General features: G+C 48.4%; 1 protein-coding gene and 1 pseudogene across 2 annotated transcripts in view; both read right to left on the bottom strand.

Annotated features, from left to right (window-relative positions):
* IGF2R (insulin like growth factor 2 receptor) overlaps positions 1 to 21,588 on the bottom strand; it is a 142,423-nt gene that overhangs the window by 6,933 nt on the left and 113,902 nt on the right. Inside the window, exons 40-47 of the mRNA NM_000876.4 lie at positions 20,388 to 20,622; positions 19,441 to 19,577; positions 16,425 to 16,539; positions 15,319 to 15,465; positions 14,469 to 14,656; positions 7,947 to 8,133; positions 1,901 to 2,053; positions 757 to 826 (exon numbers count right to left, since the gene is read on the bottom strand). Coding sequence (NP_000867.3) covers positions 757 to 826; positions 1,901 to 2,053; positions 7,947 to 8,133; positions 14,469 to 14,656; positions 15,319 to 15,465; positions 16,425 to 16,539; positions 19,441 to 19,577; positions 20,388 to 20,622 — 1,232 coding nt within the window. The remainder of the gene's footprint in view (positions 1 to 756; positions 827 to 1,900; positions 2,054 to 7,946; positions 8,134 to 14,468; positions 14,657 to 15,318; positions 15,466 to 16,424; positions 16,540 to 19,440; positions 19,578 to 20,387; positions 20,623 to 21,588) is intronic.
* Positions 8,360 to 11,490, bottom strand: CHP1P2 (CHP1 pseudogene 2; annotated as a pseudogene). The gene has a single exon (NR_003288.2). The product of NR_003288.2 is annotated as a CHP1 pseudogene 2 (transcript).

Genomic DNA, 21,588 nt, shown 5'->3' with positions numbered 1-21,588 from the left:
GAAGAACTGGCCCACTGTCCTCACAGTCACTGCATCTCCAGTTCCCAGGGAAAGGAAGACGAGGGCTGGCAACACCTTCCTGTTCCTAATGAGACTGCACCAAGGCAGGAGGGTTTGGGAGGGTGGCAGTGGGGTCATTTGGCAGGAGTCTCACAGCCAAGGGTGGGACCAAGCAGAAGGCGTTCGGGATGGCCTGGACCGAAAAGCAGACCAGTGATCCCCCAGCGCAGCTGGGGGAGAAGGGGCTCTTCCGGGCTACTCATAGACTGAAAGGTGCCCACTGCATGGCAGGGGAGGAATGTCAAAGGAGGGACTCCAGTCAAAAGCCTAGTTTTAGAGAGCAATTCATCATTACCCATCGAGACCACAAACATTATGTCCTTTGATCCAGATAATGCCTCTTTTCTGCAAATTTACCTGAAAGAAATCATCCAAATGCTACATGCACAACTATCTTCACTACTGTGTGTGTGTGTGTTTTGTTTTTTTTTTAAAGAACAGCCAAAAACAGTGGAAACAACCTAATTATTAAATACTTCAAGGAAATCAGTTGTAACCACGAGAGAAACTTGAGGGAAAAAAATAACAAAAAAATGTGCTGGCGTAAGTGGCTGAGGCAACGGGTGTTGCTTTCCTTTCTGGATTCCAGTCAGCCTGTGACTGCTTTCCTTGGCACCCCTGATGAGAACGACATGGACAGCGCAGCACAGGGGGCCGGGGAGGCAGGCCTTCAAGAGACTCGCCACAGAAAATTACCTTTGAGTATTTGTAGGACACGTTGGAACTTCTCCTACAGCAAGTGGTCAGCTTACTTATCACTGTTTCCCTATAAAAAAAAAGGAGACAATAATTACTCCAGTGTAGAGAGGGCATGGGCAGGAGCCCCACCCCCGCCAGCCCCACCCCCATCTGCACCACCAGGGGGCTGGTGGTGGCTGCATTTCTCCCACATTCTGAATGACAAATGAGTAGCCGTGACAGGTTATATATACCCTAATGTATTTGTTGTGATTGAGTGGAAAGAAGATGGGCTTTGGAATCCAACAGCAGAGGGCCCTCTAGAGCAACTTAACATTAGGGCAAGGACTTTTTCACATGACTAACAGGACCACACCAGTCCGTCGCCACTAAGCCTGCCCAATGGTGGCTCGCAGAGACAGACATCACATGCCCTTCCCGGCCCAGACCTTCTTCTGCCCCATTCTGCATTTTGGGTGTAGAGGGCCACAATCGGTACTTTTTTTTTTTTTTTGGACAGAGTCTCACTGTGTTGCCCAGGCTAGAGTGCAGTGGTGAGATCTTGGCTCACTGCAACCTCCATGGTTGGTACTTTCTGACCACCTCTCTCATTGGCCTGTGGCTCAGCTGGCAAATGACAGTGGCAGCAGGGAACGCCTGAGCTGGCCAGCTCCTGCCCCCAGGTCAGAGCCACTAACACTGACGCCTGACGTGAAAATCTGCTTGACCGTCACATGGAGAGTCCTTTCACCCAGCAAAGTGGCGCAAAAGGATGGCATCATACCTGGTACATAGCAGGCGCTTAATAAACTCCTGCATTTATGATGTGAGGAGGGCAGAGGGGTCAGCTGCTCAGTGGGAAAAGGCACCCATGAAAGGTGCCGTTTAATGTTCTACTCATCTTTGGACACAAAGGACCACGGTCCTAGAAGCCGCAGGCACGGGTGATGTGCGAGGGCCTCGGCCTTGGTCAGACAGAAATGCAGGCATTTAAAAACCACAACGCTGGGGACTGCTTCCAGAGAGTTTTGGACTAAGAACCTCGAGCCTTCGCTGCTGTAGGGCTTAAAAACAAATAAATAAAACCCCACAAAACTGACCCCAAGATTAGCTATGGGAGGCATGCATCCACCCGCCCCACCTCGCCCTGCCACCCGCTTACCTCCTCTCCTTCTTGTAGAGCAACAGGGCCAGCAGGCAGCAGGTGAGCGCCACCAGCAGCAGGCTGAGCACCGCGCCGACTGCCTGGCTCCGTTCTGACAGCCCCTTGTGCATCTGCCCGTCGTCCCCGGGATTCTCGCTGTCAAAGCCCACCCTGCAAGGACGTCACAGAAAAGGAGCCGTGTCACAGGGTGGTCCTGCTGCCACAGCCACAACCTGAGACCTGAGTCCCCAAGGCAAGAGCAGCTCTGACTTTCCCAACACCATGTGATTCTTACTCCTGCCCAGAAAACAAGGCCACAAGTCCCACTCCACATGGAAGAGGGCTGCAAAAAGTTCCTGATGATGAGTTTGTGGCAGGGTTGTCAGAAAGCAGACAAGAAGGCACTGCTTCCAGCTCCATGAACTATCATTCACCCAAACACAGAGGAGACAGGCAGGAGGGACGCGGCCCCCTCTAGGTGGCCCAATCCACGGCAGGACTAGGCTGGGGCAGAGGCTGTCCCGAAGCACCACACTTCTCTCCAGGGTCAGAGCTCTTTCCTCTCAGAATTTCTTCTGGAAGCAGTGAGCGCAGCCCACCATGAGACACCATCTCCACACGAAAGGGGCCCAGGGGGCCTTAGAAACAGGCCAGGACGGGGCCCAGGGGCGGCCACAGACCAGGGTGGGGCCCAGGGAGCAGCAGAGCCCAGCACAGCCCCCGACGGGTCTCCTCTCTCCAAGCCTGCTCCATCCCAGGAGAAGGCTCTTGAGCACACCAGCTGCCTCACCAGCGGAGTTCACCATTCCCACCCAAGACCCACATGCACACTTGTGGGAAAAAGCAGTGCGTTTCCATGACATCGAACACTCAAGCAGAGTTGGGACAATAATAGAAAATGAGAAACAACCACGGAGACTTCCCTTTGCGCTTAGGGAGCAAGATGACACTCAAGAGTGTAACGACTTGACACTTCTAATCTCTCTGGCCCTCTGTCACTTGGGGCCACACACACAGGAACAGGATCACATAAACAGAAATTCCTCCTGTGCTGCTGGTGATAAGAGGCAACCCCAGCGGGGCGCATCTTGTGCTGCTGAAGATGCCGGCTGCTCAAAGAACTGAGGTTGAGGGCAACAGGCCAACCCGCGGCCCAGCCGCAAGGGCTGCCGCTCTCAAAGTTCAGCTTAAGCCAAACAATCTAAAACATCAGCAAGACAAGAAACCACAGGGACAGCCTGGCGTCCAGTTCTAGGTGGGCCTGCAAGGGTTGACCTCTGCTCAGAAAGAAGCACCACCACACTCCACAGACAGGTCTGAGAGCTATGCAGACCTCTCCCTCCAAGCCAGAAACCCACTCACCCAGAAGCAGCTCCAGCCACTCAGGACCACTCGAAATGCATCCAAGAGACACATCATCACTCAGTTCTAAGCGTATTTTACTTTCTACCTTTGATTTCTTCTTTGGACCATAGATTATTCAGAAGTGAGTTTTAGTCTTCAAACGTATTTCTATTTTTCAGTTGTTTGTTCTTGGTTCCTAACTTAATTGCATCATGTATGTAGTTAATTGCATCAGTCAGAAATCTGCTGACTTAGGCCGAGCACAGTGGCTCATGCCTGTAATCCCAGCACTCTAGGAGGCTGAGGCAGGTGGATCACCTGAGGTCAGGAGTTTGAGACCAGCCTGGCCAACATGGTGAAACCCCATCTCTACTAAAAATACAAAAATTAGCCAGGAGGTAGTGGCACACGCCCATAATCCCAGCTACTCAGGAGGCTGAGGCATGAGAATCACTTGAATCTGGGAAGCAGAGGTTGCAGTGAGCCAAGATCGCACCACTGCACTCCAGCCTGGGCAAAAGAGCAAGTCTCTGTCTCCAAAAAAAAAAAAAAAAAAAAAAAAAAAAAAAAAAAAAAAAAAAAAAAAAAAAAAAAAAAAAAAAAAAAAAAAAAAAAAAAAAAGGGAAATTGCTGACTTGCCTGCTTTGTGGTTAATTTTTGCTAAAGTTTTCTAAGTGTTTGATGTAAGCTTGGGCAAACAGTGTTCTCCCAACGCAGGGAACAGTGTTCTGCGCATGTCTATTAAATCTTGCTTTTCACTGTGCTGTCTCAATCTTCCAAAAAAAGCTTTACTCTTTGTCTACTCAACCCAGCAATCACTAGGCTTGTTTCTTGTGTGTGGTTTTGTCAATTTCTGCTTTACATATCAAGGCTTTTTTATTAGGTAGATGGAAGTTTAGGATTCTTGTATCTTCCTAGGAAATTAGCCCTTTTAAAATTATAATGACCCTCTTTATTCTTTATCCCTAATATTTTTCTTTAATATCCTATTTTATCTTATATTAACATAACTACTGCAGCTTTCTTTCAGATTATTTTCTGGTATATCTTTTCTTCTCCTTTGACTTTGGTCTTTTCTGTATCCTTGTTTTAGGCATGTTCCCTGTAAACAGAGTTGTTTTTGAAATCCAGTTTGACAACTTGTTTTTTAGCTGACAAGTTTAGTCAAGCTATACTTATGATTATAGATATATTTAGATTTATTTCTACCATACTGGGCTGAAATTTCTACTTATCTGATTTTTGTTTTATTTTTCTCCTTGCTTGTCTTCTTTGGGGATTTAAGTATTTTTACTTCTCCTTTTCTTCTCCGCTGTTTTGGAAGTTACATACTATATTTATATTATTTTAGTGGTTATTCTTAAAATACTGGCATGCATACTAAGACAGGAAGTCTAACAGTATGTCTTCCAAACAATTAGGAACTCTACCTTTTCTTCCTTCCTTCATTTCTTTCAAGAAAATGGTTTTACTTTCATATGATGCTATCACTGTAAGAAATTTTAAAAGCTGGGAACTCTGCCACCCCTCTCAGCTTAGACACCACTGTTGTCCAGTACAGTGTGTCCTCATAGGGTCGCTGACAGTTTCCTTCAAACTGCAACCTTCCGTGAAGCGACTATGGGAGGTCCTCGAATGACATCATTTCCTTCAAAACTGTCTCATTATAAAGTTGATGAGGCCGGGCACGGTGGCTCACGCCTGTAATCCCAGCACTTTGGGAGGCTGAGGCAGGCGGATCACAAGATCAGGAGATCGAGATCAACCTGGCTAACACGGTGAAACCCCGTCTCTACTAAAAATACAAAAAAATTAGCCGGGCATGGTAGCGGGCCCCTGTAGTCCCAGTTACTTGGGAGGCTGAGGCAGGAGAATGGCGTGAACCTGGGAGGCAGAGCTTGCAGTGAGCCGAGATCGCGCCACTGCACTCCAGCCTGGGCGAGAGCGAGACTCTGTCTCAAAAAAATAACATAACATAACATAACATAACATAACATAACATAACATAACATAAAGCTGAGGAAAAAAAACTGGTTTCATTATACATCATTTCACATAAAGTTGCAGTTTCCAAGAACCTATCGATGATATAAAGTGAGGATTTAAAGTATTTTAACCTTTCTTGAATTATTTTCTAATACAACAAATTAGCCTCCCCTAAAGCTTTTACAGTCTTTTCTTTGTATCTGCTCTCCTGGTATTTCATAAGTGGGTGGGTCTTGTCATCAATAACTGTGCTGGGCACATAGCCTGCCCCTTCCATCTGTAGATGCCTGTCTTTTAGCTTTGTGTAAATTTTTTGACTTTAATCAAATATTGTGAAAGAACCATTTTTGTAAAGTAGGAGGAAGGTGTAAGACAGCTCTATCTTCATCTACTATTGCAGGAAGTCAACAGATGAGATATAGGATGTTAATTTAAAATACTGAGGTAAATTCCAGAAGAAATAGCTAAAAGAACTAAAAATGGTAATCTATTAGGGCGAACATTGCTACCTGTTTGTTATAGTTACATGATTTTTTTTCCTGAGATCTAGTCTCGCTCTGTCACCCAGGCTGCAGTACAGTGACGCCATCTCGGCTCACTGCAACCTCCACCTTCCAGGTTCAAGCAATTCTCCTGCCTCAGCCTTCTGAGTAGCTGCGATTACAGGTGTGCACCACCACACCTGGCTAATTTTTGTATTTTTAGTAGAGACGGGGTTTCACCATGTTGCCCAGGCTGGTCTAGAACTCCTGACCTCAAGTGATCCGCCCACCTTAGCCTCCCAAAATGTTGGGATTACAAGCGTGAGCCACCGCGTCTGGCCATATTTACATGATTCTACAATGTACAACACTGATAACATTTGGGGAAAAAAAAATCTCAGGCACTATTCCACGTCACCCCCGGGTGGTACCTGCATCCCTCAAAATCCACCATCTGAGTTTTTGCTCTTGGTTTCAACTTCTGTTTCTTTTTTTTAAAGTCCTTATTACCTTGTCAGTGTGTTAAGGGATTTAAACAGCTCCCAATCCTGATGTTCTGAACATCATGAAACCGAGGTTTCCTGGAGAATCTTCCTCTCTGGTTTTAGAGTCAAACACCAAAGCCCTATAAACAGTGCTTTTCCTACTCACAGAAGTCGAACTCTAAACATTCAACATGGACGGGATCCTAGCCTGGCCTGGTCCCTCAAACCCACACAGAAGACCAGCTGCCATGTCAGGAGGCAGGATTCATCTCATGGCAGCTGTAGCCTCTCCATGACAGAGAATGCAGGGAAAGTTCACTTCTGGGTTTTATCTTTTATAAAAATTCACATTTTGCTTCTTTCAGGAAGAACTTCCAGTTTCAATCCTTTCATTTTGTAATGACGTCACCGGAACACCATAAACATTCAAAAGCTGAAAATACCACAAGTGAAATTTCAACCAAAAGCCTCTTTCCCTGACTGTGCAGCTGAGGATCCCTAAGTACACAGGCCTGAACAGCACAGGACAAAGCTGGTTTTTGCTGAGCTCATGTCCACTGTTAAGGGTGGGCAGGGGGAGTGCTGATTTAAGATGTAAAATGTGTGATCTTCATTCCCCCATGACCCCCACCACTGTCGTCTGCTGACTCTACGGTCCCTTTTTCAGGACATGAAGGAAACAATTACATGGCAAGAATTCATGTTCCCCCAATCTTAAAGTCTCAGGACAGAGAATGAAAAGCTTATGTAAAATGGTGGGCCAGGCCGGGCATGGCAGCTCACGCTTGTAATGCCAGCACTTTGGGAGGCCAAGGCAGGCAGATTATCTGAGGTGAGGAGTTCAAGACCAGCCTGGTCAACATGGTGAAACCCCATCTCTACCAAAAATACAAAAATTAGCAGGGCATAATGACACATGCCTGCAATCCCAGCTACTTGGGAGGCTGAGGCAGGAGAATCGTCTGAACCAGGAGGCAGAGGTTGCAACGAGCCAAGACCGCACCACTGCACTCCAGCCTGAGTGACAGAGCAAGAGTCCATCCCAAAAAAATAAAAAATAAAAATAAATATAAATACAATGATGGGTGGGGGTAACATAAGAAGAAAATAAATCCAAGAGGAAAGCAACTGACAACATGTTATTCGTGGCAAAGTATAAAACGGCTGTGGGACACAAGACAACCAATGGAGGTGCCACCTTCCTTCAGAGCAGAAACTGCTCCCTCTGTTCTCATGCTGATTCTCAAAATCTGGAGAGTAAGCTTTTCATTCATTCAAACAAACGTAAAAATACTGCACTCAAATCAAAGTAAAAATACTGCACTCAAATCAAAGTGAAACTTTACCAAACAATCATTTGTATTACGACACAAAAGATGTTCCAGGATTACACAGAGGAGGCACCACCAGTACTTGCCTCCCAGGAGCTAAGGAGAGGGAGGCAGCAATGGGAACAGGGTAGAGGGACAGAGCTGGGGTGCCCTGACTGGACCCTATTCGGGGCATGGTACACACAAAGGAAACAATGGCACTGCTGCTGGGGGTGGTGGGAGGTGACGCAGCCATGGACCAAAAATCAGTGGCAGGATGCTGACAAGCAACGGAGCGGGGCACTGACTATGTGGGGTCCGCTTCTATCATTTTCTCTATTTTTTGGTGCATGTTCTGAATATTTCACAAGAAAACATTGGGGAAAAAACACACATACACTTATTCTTAAGGGAAGATGTGGGGTACAAGTGCTAAGCTTCCGGATGTCATACTCACCCCAGAGGACACACGGCTGAGGTGTACCAAGAGAAGAGGTACTGGCAGTCGGCAGTCTCGTGACTGAACTCGGGGATCCCGTCCTCCACCAGAGGGTCACAGTGGAAGAAGATGGTGGAAGAAACAGACTTGGTCTTATCCTTTCCGCACTTAGAGGAAGAGGCAAACACGACATCGAGATCGCCGTCTGTCAAACGGGAAGGGCACACATGGCATGTCACCATCATTTTTCACGAGCAGACTGAGCTTAGCTCCTTACGGTCTAAAAAGTTTGCAAAGACTTAAAATCAGGCAGAAGAGACTTCATCCCACGTCCCACAGGCACTCTGTTCACAGCTTACGAGGCCACTCGATGCACATGGATAGAGCCCTGCCCTTAGTCAGCATGCAGTAAAGAATTTTTGTTTTGTTTTAACCACGAGTATTTATTGATGGACTGAAGACACAATTTTAATGGAACAATAAGGCACAACCGTGGATTAAAACAGTCTGCTGTACAGCCAAAAGAAGGGAAAAGCTACAATTTTAGGAACTTTAAATATGCAAATCAAGGAGCCTCTGAAGTATCTAACAGATCAGTATCAGATATTCTTCCCTTTCTATATAATTCCTGTATTACATCACTCAATCACAAAGTCCAACTGACACTTCATAAAGAATTCCTCATTCATTTATATTTGAGCCATCCAGCCTGGCTACTCCCCTGTTCTCCACTGTTTTCCATCGCTTTGCAGTGTATTTTTTAGCAATCCCCTTCCTAAAGAATTATGTACACATCTTCAATAGCTTTCCAAAGCAAGGAAACAAGCAAGCAAGCAGCGAGTCAAGAAAGTCAGCCAACGGCAGATATGTGAATGAACAGACTCACAGAGACATACATTAGGATGGCAACAGCCTGATTCACTGAAGTCTAAACTAAGCTGACTTTGGCAGAAAAGTTGCTGTGACTTGCTTAAAGACTTGGAATGCCACCTTAGGTTGTGCTACTAGTGCCAGACCTCTTGTTTCTAAGGGATTAGCAGTGGTCTACACAAGGAGCTGGGAAACCAGTGTAACCAGGGAGCTAATGATACAACAGTCAACGCTTTGGACTTGTATAAGAAGCGGACTATGGCTTCTAGCATTAACATTTGCCAAGTGTAAAATTCATAAAGAATTTTGTGCAAAACTTCAAGACACAGAGAACAATCTTTAAATATTTTGGACTAGGATACATTAGGCACTTCCATAACACTAATCTTTCTAACTTGGAAACGTATAGTGAAAAGCATTCCAGTGCACATAACACTGAGGCATAAACCATGCAGCAGAGGTGTGAATGCAGGAGGCTTCACAGGGTGCGCAGCCTCCTTGTTCAAAAAGCCATGAGAAAGTCCCCAAGCATATTGTCTGAGCAGCCGTTCTGGTGGTAACCGTGTCCCAAGACTAAGCAAATCTGCAGGCATATTGCTACTTTTTGAATAGTCAACACTGCACTAACAAGAGACGCCCCATAGGTACAAAGTTGAGAATCAGAGGCCAGAGGTAGAGTGACGTGGGCAAGCAACCTAAAAGACTTGACTCCACACCTCTCACCAAGGCCACCTTTCAAGAATATCTCCACCCAGCAGCCCTTTGATGACAGAGAAGAGTGCAGAGGATGATCTCATACTCCCGAGAGAAGTGTTGGTTACCAAAAAGCTCCTGGAGAGGCAACATCCCAGAGGGCCTTTTTTTTTTTTTTTTTTTGAGATGGAGTCTCGCTCTGTCGCCCAGGCTGGAGTGTAGTGGCACGATCTTGGCTCACTGCAAGCTCTGCCTCCCAGGTTCACGCCATTCTCCTGCCTCAGCCTCCCGAGTAGCTGGGACTACAGGCACCCGCCACCACGCCCGGCTAATTTTTTGTATTTTTAGTAAAGACGGGGTTTCACCGTGTTAGCCAGGATGGTCTCGATCTCCTGACCTCGTGATCTGCCCACCTCAGCCTCCCACAGTGCTGGGATTACAGGCGTGAGCCACCACGCCCAGCTCCAGAGGGCCTTTTAATAATGAAGGTAGATAAAAACTGCCAGACCACCGAACTATCGAGCCAAGTCAGAAATACAATACCAGGCATAGCTTGGGGTGCCAAGTAGAACAGAGGAGATTCTGAGGCTTCACAAAAAGCAGAAAGACTGCATGACTACGTGAACAGTATGTTGAATGTACACAGAAGTGGGAAGCAAAGGACATATAAAAAGGATGGAGAAGCATGCTGGCAGACTCGCCAGAGGGAAGGCAGCAGGTGCAGTCTACATCCAGTGAAAGAGCTTTGCTGGCTTGTTCCTCGGCAGGATTCCCTATCTTACTTTCTCAGACTGGATGGATGTGTGGCATTCAGCAGCAGAACAGAGGAAGACGATATTTATAAATGAAGAACTGGCGAATGGATACTGAGAAGAAATAGACTGGGTGTACCATTCTGTAACGCCCTGTTTATAGACCAAAAGCAGGTTTGTGTTGACAGAACATATTTGGGGTTGTTATGCAACAGCAGTAGTACTTTGGGAGAAGGGGAATGATGGGGTGGAGGTAGGGCTGGTGGACAGGAGGACTGTCAAGTTCCAGTACTTAAATACTAGACTGCAAGGAATAGTTTGCTGTCTGTCCTTTAGTGAAGAAATCAGATGCTCATTTTCTGTTCTACATCCACCTTCTCCAAAACCTTAGCAAAGTCTGTGATAAAGATATGGCACTGTCCCCATGCTGATCAGCCTCCTGAATGGTCCTGTCTGCGATACTGCCCAGCTGCTTATCTGAGATATTTATTTGGACCATCATGCACAGCACCCTTAACAGCTCATCACGAGAGATCTTGTTATCTTTATCCAAATCATATAGTCGAAAAGCAAACTGCAGTTTGTTGCTTCGGCTGTTGAGTGGTTCAGGTCCATTCACAACTTTGCTCTTTTCATTATCCTCAATGGTTTGGAAATGAGCCAGAGTTTGCAGGAATCCACGGAAGTTTACCTGGTCCTCTCCCTCTGGAAGGAAGGCATTGATGATCCAGTCCCCCACTGGGTTGATGGCAAGTTCTGGAATCCCCTGGAAATCGTCCTGTTCTCTCCTTTGTCCAGGTTGCTGAACCGGCTGTACAGACGTGTGATTTGACTGTGGGAAAAGCCAGTCTCCTTCTTGATCTCCTCAAACTCTTCATCGTGCAGTAAGGTGGAGGCCTGAGACCCCATCACTGTGCCAGGAGCTCCTCCAGGAACAGAAGCAACGGCAACAAGAGGGAAGGCAAGAATTTAACCTTGCCCAAAAAGAGGGCTGGCCTTGCTCCTTGGCTAATGACAGGATACGGAGCAGGGGCTGGCCATGCAGTACCTGAGTGATCAATGGACCAATCCTGCCCATGTCAGAGCCCCGGGAAAAACTCTGGACACCAAGGCTTGGGGAAGCACCTCCGGCTGATGATACTCCATGTGCACTGCCACACGTGGGTGCTGGGAACACAACACATCTGATTCCACGGGAGAGCTGGTGGGAACTCTGCATTCAATTCCCTCCTGGACTCTGCCCTGTGTGCATCTTGGTTGATTTTAACCTGTATCTTTTTGCTGCAGTAAATCATAACTATAAGTGTAACTGCTTCCAGGGAGCTCTGTGAGTTATGGTGAAAGGGTAAATCTGAAGTTGGCTTGGGAACCCCTTCAGTGTGCTGTTGCTGTCAGAAGTGAGGAACCCTTGTGTGGACTCCTTGCATGAACTCTGCTGCTCCCAACCTTTGTCACTGGCTGAAAATCTTTGTGGCTGGTGCTGCTGGGTGCCAGGAATGCAGAGGCGAGAGTGCAGGGTAGGAGACGGACATGTCCACACACAGATGGGGCCCAGAGACAGGCGGTGCGGCTCCGCTCCGGGAGGGCCCCACATTCTCGCTTGGGAGTAGCTGAAGCAGGGGCTGCTGAATGGACTGTTCCACAGGGCTGATGTGGGGAAGCAAACCGCCCAGCAGCTCCACGTCCTGATGAGAGACAGCTCTGCCCTCCCGAAGGAATGGCAAGCCTCAGGAAGAGATAGAAACTTCATTTCTTCATGAAAGATGAAAAGATGTCTTAAAACTAAAGCTACTTCCTGGGGCTGGTGAATGAAGAAAGTGAAAAGGTCTGAAAGGGATTTTATTTACCAAGAATGACTAAATGCGCATGCACAAGCACTCTGAAAGCTGGGGATCCTCAAAGGTCTGCTAGACATACCACTTGTGAACGTGGAGGTCTTATGTGTAACCAGACAAGTGGCCAGTGCTGCGCGATGGAGCGTGAAGACTCCTGCAGACACACCAGCAGTATCACCTGCTATGAGAAGGTGGGCCTTCCCAGGAGGGGCACTGGAGGTAGGTTTGGAATCCTGCAGACACACCAGCGGTGTCACCCTGCTATGAGAAGGTGGGCCTTCCCAGGAGGGGCACTGGAGGTAGGTTTGGAATCCTGCAGACACACCAGCGGTGTCACCCTGCTATGAGAAGGTGGGCCTTCCCAGGAGGGGCACTGGAGGTAGGTTTGGAATCCTGCAGACACACCAGCGGTGTCACCCTGCTATGAGAAGGTGGGCCTTCCCAGGAGGGGCACTAGAAGTAGGTTTGGAAGGATGAGGAAGGTGGGCCAAGGCATTCCAGCACCAAGAGCAGCATATGTAAACCCACCAGGTTACAGGGTGACTTTGGGAACTAGTGAATAACCTGATGGCTGAGGCATGTGTAGGAGCAGCAGCTTGCAAGGCTACCCTGGTACATGGGAGCCTCTCAGACATCTTCAAGCTGTGTCAGAGAGAGCCTAGACTTTCCTTCTCTGCATGATAGGGCCCCTGAAGGCTTCTGAAACAATCCTTCCTTCCTTCCTTTAATCAAGATTTACCGAGCACTGGGAAAGAGGACAGCAAGAGAAGGCACAACCTGTGACATGCAACATCTGATTCTGAATGACTGAAGGATTCACCGAAGTGTGAGGAAGGCAGAGAACAGAGAAACACAGAGTGCTAGCTCCGTGCTGTGGAGTTATGCAAGTGAATGAGGCTGATCAACTTTCCCATCATCAACTCACCCAGAAAGCAGAACATTCACTTTCCCAGTTCTATTCAGGGGCCACAGGTGCTATGAGCAGATGCACCAGGGCGCTGTCTACAATCTGTGACCAGGAGCAGCGATGCTGACCCAGCTTCCCTCCATCAGGTGCTGCCGTCGTGGAGATGCACTCAGCACCAGGGCACGGAGCACCTGCTCCTTCTCGGCGATGCGCTCAGCACCAGGGCACAGAGCACCTGCTCCTTCTCGGCGATGCGCTCAGCACCAGGGCACGGAGCACCTGCTCCTTCTCGGCGATGCGCTCAGCACCAGGGCACGGAGCACCTGCTCCTTCTCGGCGATGCGCTCAGCACCAGGGCACGGAGCACCTGCTCCTTCTCGGCGATGCGCTCAGCACCAGGGCACGGAGCACCTGCTCCTTCTCGGCGATGTGCTCAGCACCAGGGCACGGAGCACCTGCTCCTTCTCGGCGATGTGCTCAGCACCAGGGCACGGAGCACCCGCTCCTTCTCAGCCGCACCAGGGCACAGAGCACCCGCTCCTTCTCAGCGATGCGCTCAGCACCAGGGCACAGAGCACCCGCTCCTTCTCAGCGATGCGCTCAGCACCAGGGCACAGAGCACCCGCTCCTTCTCGGCGATGCGCTCAGCACCAGGGCACGGAGCACCTGCTCCTTCTCGGCGATGAGCTCAGCACCAGGGCACGGAGCACCTGCTCCTTCTCGGCAATGTGCTCAGCACCAGGGCACAGAGCACCTGCTCCTTCTCAGCTATCACTACTCTCCCCTCCCAGAGGACATGATCGGCAGCTCTTTGACATCAGAGCAGGCTGGGGTTTTCTTTAAACACACTTCATTTTTTTTTAAAGAGTTATTACATCCACACACGGTTCAAAAATCAAATTATGAAAGGTATATAGTTAAGACTAGCTGTTCAAAACAAAAGCAGCCTTTCACGATTATGTGAGGGAACAAAGGGCAACACCCTTATTAGTGCCAGTTTAAAACCTTCCTTCACACCCTGGACTCTGCCCTATGTGCGTCCTGGTTGATTTTAACCTACATCCTAACATTTAGGCCAGTTTCCTTTCATCCTTCTTACAAATATAAAATCTCTTACCCTTCTCTAATATTATTTGGCATTCCAAAATAAGGAAGTGTCATGGTTAAAACCAAATCAAAGGCAATTCTGACTGTGCACAGCTCAGCCTCCACCCAACCTCAGAACCACTGGATCAGACCAGGTTTTAGTTTTTTTGTACATTTACTTGATAACTAAGACACAATTTGCCTACAGTGAAATGCTTAGTTCTGACACGTATCGCTCAATCCACTGTCAAGAAATTCATAACAAAGTAAAGAATTAGACCAAGGTTTTTGTTTTAAAAGTGGTCCGAGATTTCAACTGAAGGGAGTTAGTTGAAAATTTTAATCCCCTTCCTTGGAGGAAGTTAAATGTGGAACTTTGTGGGAAGCCACGGATTACCTTGAAGGTAGTACTTGGTCTTGTCAGAGGTTCCAACTTTCCGACTGAAGTGCTGATCGTTGGGCTTCACCTGGCATATGTTGGCTCCAGAGCACGCCGGGTTTCTGGAGCTTGTGATGGAGGAAAGTTGGATCTCATACAGGTAGTTGTCCCCATTGGTCCTCATGTCCCCAGAGGCTCTGAACAGCCTGAAGAGACAGAAAAGATCACAGTGACATGGAAGTCCTTCAAGAAGGCATTCATGACATAAACCCTCAGTCCTCAGAATCACTGCAGGGCCCCAGGATGCTTCCTTTCCTAGGGAAAGGAAGCACGGACACGCTAGGGCAGCACGTCTGTGACCCCACAGCAATTCTGAGGACACCAGTTTCCCTCTCAAGAGGCTTTCTCCCCAACCAGTTCTGGCCTCTGAGTGCTAATCCACCTTCCTCAGGTGCCGTATCCAGCACCACACGGCCCTCGCCCTGTCTGTGCACCTCGGCCACCACCCCCAAGAGCAGCCCCAGTAACACTGCTGAGAAACTTATTTTCTAAACACTGGTAAGCCCAGAAGATTCCTGCTCAAACATGTCAGAAGGCTTCGGCTTCAACCCCTGAGATTATCATGAAGAGAGGGAGAAGGACGGGGGATTTATTTTTACACTCATGAGAATTCACCATCTTTGGTGTTAAAACTTAATGATTGAGTAACGCTTTTCCTCAGTTTAAGCAAAAGATGACGATGACTCCAGCAACAGTAACTAAAACACAGACCTATTTATCCTGCAGTGCTCCCCGATAGGGAAAGAGCGGCATTGCTGGTTTAATTTTGAACACATTTCACAGCTCAGAAGGAAAACGTTTTACTTACTTAAAATAAATATCTCCGAGGCTGAAGCTCTTGCCATTTATAGGGTTGGTGATGGTCCCATTCACCATCTGCACCTCCTGAGGCTTCACGGCGCAGGCAGCCCGGGAGTCCCAGCTGAAGTAGTAAGTGCAGCTGTCGATATCAAACCTAGGAGGAGGGAAGCACAGGCTACAGTCACTTCCCCAGCCAGACATAAGGGAAGACTGCAAAACAATGAACACTGCGGAGCCCTTGAAGCAGCTCACTGGCTTTCAGTCAAGGTGCTGCGAGACTTCAGTTGGGTCCCGAGGCCCCCACTCCCCGGGCTGCGCAGGCCTAGGCAGAATTTCCCGACTCAACACTGACGGCAGCTCGGAGCGAGGGTGGTTATTTTACTCACTTCTTTTCATCACCACAATGGACAGGGAAGATGACTGTGGTGCACACATCAGTAATGTGACAAAGCAGGCAAGCATTCAATATAAATTTTTTAAAATTTGTAAACCGTGCAACATTCAAAACCTGGAAAATTTGCTCCTAGATTTTTAGATTTTTGTTTAAGCTTCTCAGACTCATACATTCATAAATCCTTTGGCAATTTCTGAGTCACCCCTTTTCCAAACTCAGCGTCTGGAAGGAATCAGTTCTGTTCACAAACAGCAGCTCACATGCACCCTCTGTTGGCCAAGCTCTCCCTGGCACCAGATGCAATGTGGCCGGGAAAACTTGAATATAATCCAAGCACATCCCAGGTCCAGATGCAGGTCCCAGCTGCTCGAGGGTCCCAGCCAGGCTGCTTGAACACCTCGGGTGGGACAAATCCACGCCCCTTTGTTTCTACTATGACATTCAAAGGTAGAGGTCAGTTAAGTACTGCTCAGCCAGTGCTAAACCTAGTTCAAGAGACAAGCTAGCCCAGAGAAGTTGCACTGGTCTTGTAACAGTGTCTCAGCACTGTATCTGGAGGTCTTCCCTGCCTGGAGCAGCCCCGCCCAATACAGCACAATCAGCGGCTCTGGCCCTGAGCTCCTAAGACTCAGCCAAAACCTGCCCATGAAAACCCCAAGGAGGAATTCCCTCCAGTATGCTCACTGCACAGTCCCGCTCTGAGCCCCCAGTCTCCTGACCTCTTGAATGCAGGTCTGCCCACCGTCTTTGTACAGGTCAATTCTATCACGGAGGATGCGGTCTTATTTCCACCACACGGATAACCTTTGGAGTACGTGACAACAACTTTGTCACCTGAAACACACAAATGATTGAACTGACATTATTTCTAGTGCATTATAAAAAGCCTCAGGCAGGCGCAGTGGCTCACACCTGTCAATTCCAACACTTTGGGAAACCAAAGAGGGCAGATCACTTGAGGTCAGGAGTTAGAGACCAGCCTGACCAACATGGTGAAACCCCGTCTCTACTAAAAATACAAAAATTATTCGGGCACGGTGGCAGGTGCCTGTAATCCCAGCTACTCAGGAGGCTGAGGCAGGAGAATTGCTTGAACCCGGGAGGCAGAAGTTGCAGTGAGCCAAGATCGAGATGGCGCCATTGCACTCCAGCCTGGGCAACAAGAGCAAAACTCCATCTCAAAAACAAAAACAAAAAACAAACAAACAAAGCTTCAATGTTAGGAGTAAAAATCTGGTTTAAAGGCCAGAAGAAAATAAATTTTGGGCTCCCTAAAGGTTTATCGACCTGTTCTTGCATTCCCACACTCAGGGGTGGTCACCTGGCCCACTGCACAATTGTCACAGCCTAAGACCTGGGGTCAAACCCAAACCCTCCTACTCCCGTACTTTGTGGCCCTGGGTTGCTGAGCTTCTGAGCCTTGAGGGCCTTACCTGCAGAACAGGGCACTGTCCAAAGTGGGCAGGTTTCGGGCATGTATAGAAAGTGCCCAACAAACTCATGTGAACAGTGGGACCCCGGGTAATGGCAGCCTTCATTATCGCTCCAATTGTGTAAACTCTCTCTATCATATTAGGTGCTTTCCTGACAGGTACCCTCATGTGAGCCTCCCAGTAATAACAGAGCACAGAATGGAAAAAGTGAAAAGCCAGAAACAGAAACCAACTGTGGTTTTCTAGGGTCTTCTAGCTTTCAGTCGAGCACTGTCTGCTTTTAAAAGTGACCCATTAAAAGAAAAACCTGAGCCCTCGAACCCGCAGGGTCTGAGAGAAAAGTGAGTACATGCTTTAAGCTGCAGGTATCACTGGGGCAGCATGGCCGCCAGGTTCCAACTCTCAAGCCACCACCAAGAGGCTGCTTGTGGCTGCGCAGGGGGCTGTTCTGGGAACGGTCTGGGCCCAGCCTGGCTGCATGGACAGATGATGTCTCCAGGGCATGGCGCAGGGTGTCCAGGGGAAGCAGGTGCCTTCCACCCTGACCACACACACACAGATCCTTCCAGGCAGGGGCATGCGGTGGAGGCAACATGGGCACAGTGCTCACTTCCCGAGTGTTTTCCACAGGACACAGGCTGAGGTACTGAGGGCTGCTGGATGGTGAGGTGGGAGGTGGGACTCTAGGCTCTCAGGCCTGCCCCAAACTCAAAGCTGCTCCAGCTGAATTTGTTTTAAATATTGGGCTTCTGTGTAAAATTTTGGAAAAAAGAATTCCACTGTTTTACGGAAAATTTTTAAAACTTCTGGCATATGGGATCAAACAAGAAAAAACTTTAATAGTGTAGACAGCCCTTACTGATTGGGCAGGAGGCTCAACCTCCTCGGCTCAGGGGCCCAGCCTGTGAAACGGATGACAACGCTGCCCCATGGAGTGGATGGGGATTAAACATATATTAAGCACAGCTGCTTGAGACATGTTGGTTCTGAAAACAAAAAGTCTACCTCCCACCCCAACAGGGGTCCATTCCCTAAGCGGACAATGGGGGCACCGTGGTTGTCCTTAGATGCTGTCTTGTTGGCGCCAAAGATTAAGAGCTCATTTGGTGTCAGACACCAGATTATTTCTCGTTCCGGTCAGCAGGTGCTCAGGATGCCAAATGCCAGTCCCAGGAGAAAGCATGAGCTCTTCCCGCCAGGCGAGGCTGGACTTGCAAAATGGTGCTCTCCAAATGGAGGTGGCCTGCAGGTCACCGCTAAGAAGTCAGATGATCTAGTTCCATGTCACCCCCTGTGTTCACTACTCTCTTTTGCTCCTCCTGCCTCAAACTTTTAGGAAGCCTTAAGTGTTTTAGTCATTTCAGTTGGCTGAAGTTGGGGAAAGACTAGTCGAATATCCATATATACTGCAAGATTACAGGGGAAAAAGCAACCCTCCACGACCTTCCCTCCTTCCCCCTTCTGGGGCAGTGTGGGAGTGGCAGCAATAACTGACCTCTAAAGCAGTAAGAACCTCCCAGGGAGGGCGGGTCTCAGGCTGGCGGTCTGGGCGCCACTTCCTGTATGGCAGCTCTCCCTCCACCTACCAACCTGCAGAGTCTGTGTGTGATTTTTATCAAGGGTGGCAGTAGTTTTCTCGGAATTCTCTTTCTCCATCTCAACATCTCAAGCTAATCTGAAGTAGCCCTGTGGCTGAATCAGGACAACTCGGGAAACCCCACTCCAGCCTAAGAGGCAAAGGTGAATATTTTCCTTTACTGGTCCCTCCAACAAATCCTAATTGCTCTTACTAAGAAACCTCTATTTTCCTCCTTTAAATAATGAAAGAAAACAACTTTCACTCAGCAACCAAGTACAAGATCAATTTCCCGTGAAAAATTGTTAAGACATTTTACAAAGATGTACCTCTGAACTACCTGTACCAAGTCCTCATGCAACTGTTTGGCTTTCCTAAACAAACACGTGTGTTTATGCCAATTTAGGCACTTGATCTACAGCTAGAACGTGAACTTCAGAGGAACTCTGAACATTCTGAGACTTCCTCCTGGATAGACGCACTTCCCCGAGATAGCCCAACCCCTCTAAACACACAGACTAGGACCTGCAGTCTCATATAATACAAAGCAGCACTTATTTTAATGTGCCAGGAGAGCCAAAATGCCTGTGAGACAGTGACAGGCAATCATATCTGGAGGTTTCCACCAAAGCACATGCTCACTCTCCTTGCCATCCTGAGAACACCCTCACCTTCCCGGTTCAGATGCTGCTCCTTGAACCAAGGACCAGGACCCACAGGCCTTACCTATGACACCCAGCTTCTGCGTGTGAACGAGTCCCAGGACCTGGACGTCACCAGTTGTGGTCCTTCTGCAAATGCTGGCCCTTTCAGAGCAGCCCAGGGGCCCTTTATATATTTTCTGGCACAGATTTATATAGTACCTAGAAAACGACACAAAGGGGCAGGTAAAAGGCATGCAAGTGACGTCTCTGCCCTGACACAGGAGGGCTCTTCACTTTACTTTCAGAGAAAGGTTCTGATAACTAAGGGCTCCATTCCATCACTGAATGTAGCACTAAAATAGCTTTTCCAATTAAAAAAAAAAAGGGCAAAAGAAGTCTTCACTGAAGAAGGGAGCTCACCAACCAGACACACGCGGAGTGGAATGTCCACACCTGCGGCCACCCTGGACACAGCGTGGTACAGTAGAAAGAAGGGCTCCGGGGCTGGGAGAGGCAGTGGCTAGAATCTCGGCAAGTTTCCCACCTCACTTAGAACCACTTAAACCCTGTGAGTCCATGCCCCTGCTCCTCGGTGATGTCTTGCAGGAGCACCTGGCCAAGCGGGCGCTCCCCACGCAGAGTGGTCAGGACCATGGGCTGACCCCAGCCAGCAAAGCCTAAGGAGCTCCTGCCAAAGACCCGAGAAAACCCACACGCCTCCCACAACCTGAGCTACACACAAACGCAAATCAAACCCAGCCTAACTCAGTCCGCCCAGGTTCTTCCAGCTCCAGAGGCTCCGTTTCCAGTCACCAAAGCTCCTGCCCCCACTCTGACCTCAGAACCACCCTCTGTGCCAGGATTGACACTGCGGGCTGCTTCCAGGAACAGTCACAACTCAACCACCATCAGCCTCACATGGGCATAGTATTCCCATCTTGAGAACCCAAAAGAGCCAACCATCGTCAAGCAGTCTGAAGTTCACATGCTGAGGGTGTGGCGCCGCGGGTGGACTGGGAAGGCACTCACGAGACTCCGTTGTGGACGAGGGACCAGGACCCGGTGAGAGAGGAGAGCAGCCGCAGGTCGTAGGTTTTGTGTTTCTGGACGAATTTGCACTCCAACTTCTTTGGAGGGCAGACAACTTTTGTTTTCCACTCAAATGTCACATCACACCCACGCACTTCACTGAAGACTTGTGGCCTCCCAATGTCCTCATCTTCATCACACTTAAATATGATGCTGGATGTCCGGTAGCTGTTTGCTGGGGAGTGTAGGGAAAAGAGAGAGAGATCAGACTGTCACTGTGTCTATGCAGAAAGGGAAGACATAAGAGACTCCATTTTGAAAAAGCCCTGTACTTTAAACAATTGCTTTGCTGAGATGTTGTTAATTTGTAGCTTTGCCCCAGCCACTCTGCCCCAGCCACTTTGACCCAACTTGGAGCTCACAAAAATATGTGTTGTATAAAATTAAGGTTTAAGGGATCTAGGGCTGTGAAGGACGTGCCTTGTTAACAAAATGTTTATAAGCAGTATACTCGGTAAAAGTCATTGCCATTCTCTAGTCTCAATAAACCAGGGGCACAATGCACTGCGGAAGGCCGCAGGGACCTCTGCCCTGGAAAGCTCGGTATTGTCCAAGGTTTCTCCCCATGTGATAGTCTGAAATATGGCCTCGTGGGATGAGAAAGACCTGACTGTCCCCCAGCCTGACACCCGTAAAGGGTCTGTGCTGAGGTGGATTAGTAAAAGAGGAAAGCCTCTTGCAGGTGAGATGGAGGAAGGCCACTTTCTCCTGCTTGCCCCTGGGAACTGAATGTCTCGGTATAAAACCCGATTGTACATTTGTTCAACTCTGAGATAGGAGAAAAGCTGCCCTGTGGCGGGAGGCGAGACACGTTTGCAGTAATGCTGCCTTGTTATTCTTTACTCCGCTGAGATGTTTGGGTGGGGAGAAACATAAATTTGGCCTATGTGCATGTCCAGGCATAGTACCATCCCTTAAACTTAATTATGATATAGATTCTTTTGCTCACATGTTTTTTGTTGACCTTCTCCTTATCATCACCCTGCTCTCCTACTACATTCCTTTTTTGCTAAAATAATGAAAATAATAATCAATAAAAACTGAGGGAACTCAGAGGCCGATGCCGGTGCAGGTCCTTGGTGTGCTGAGTGCCGGTCCCCTGGGCCCACTGTTGTTTCTCTATACTTTGTCTCTGTGTCTT

The sequence above is a fragment of the Homo sapiens genome, chromosome 6 (assembly GCF_000001405.40).
Source record: "Homo sapiens chromosome 6, GRCh38.p14 Primary Assembly".
In the NCBI taxonomy this organism is placed as follows: domain Eukaryota; kingdom Metazoa; phylum Chordata; class Mammalia; order Primates; family Hominidae; genus Homo; species Homo sapiens.
Note: the sequence above shows the minus strand (reverse complement) of the source record. Positions and strands in the feature narration are given on the sequence as shown.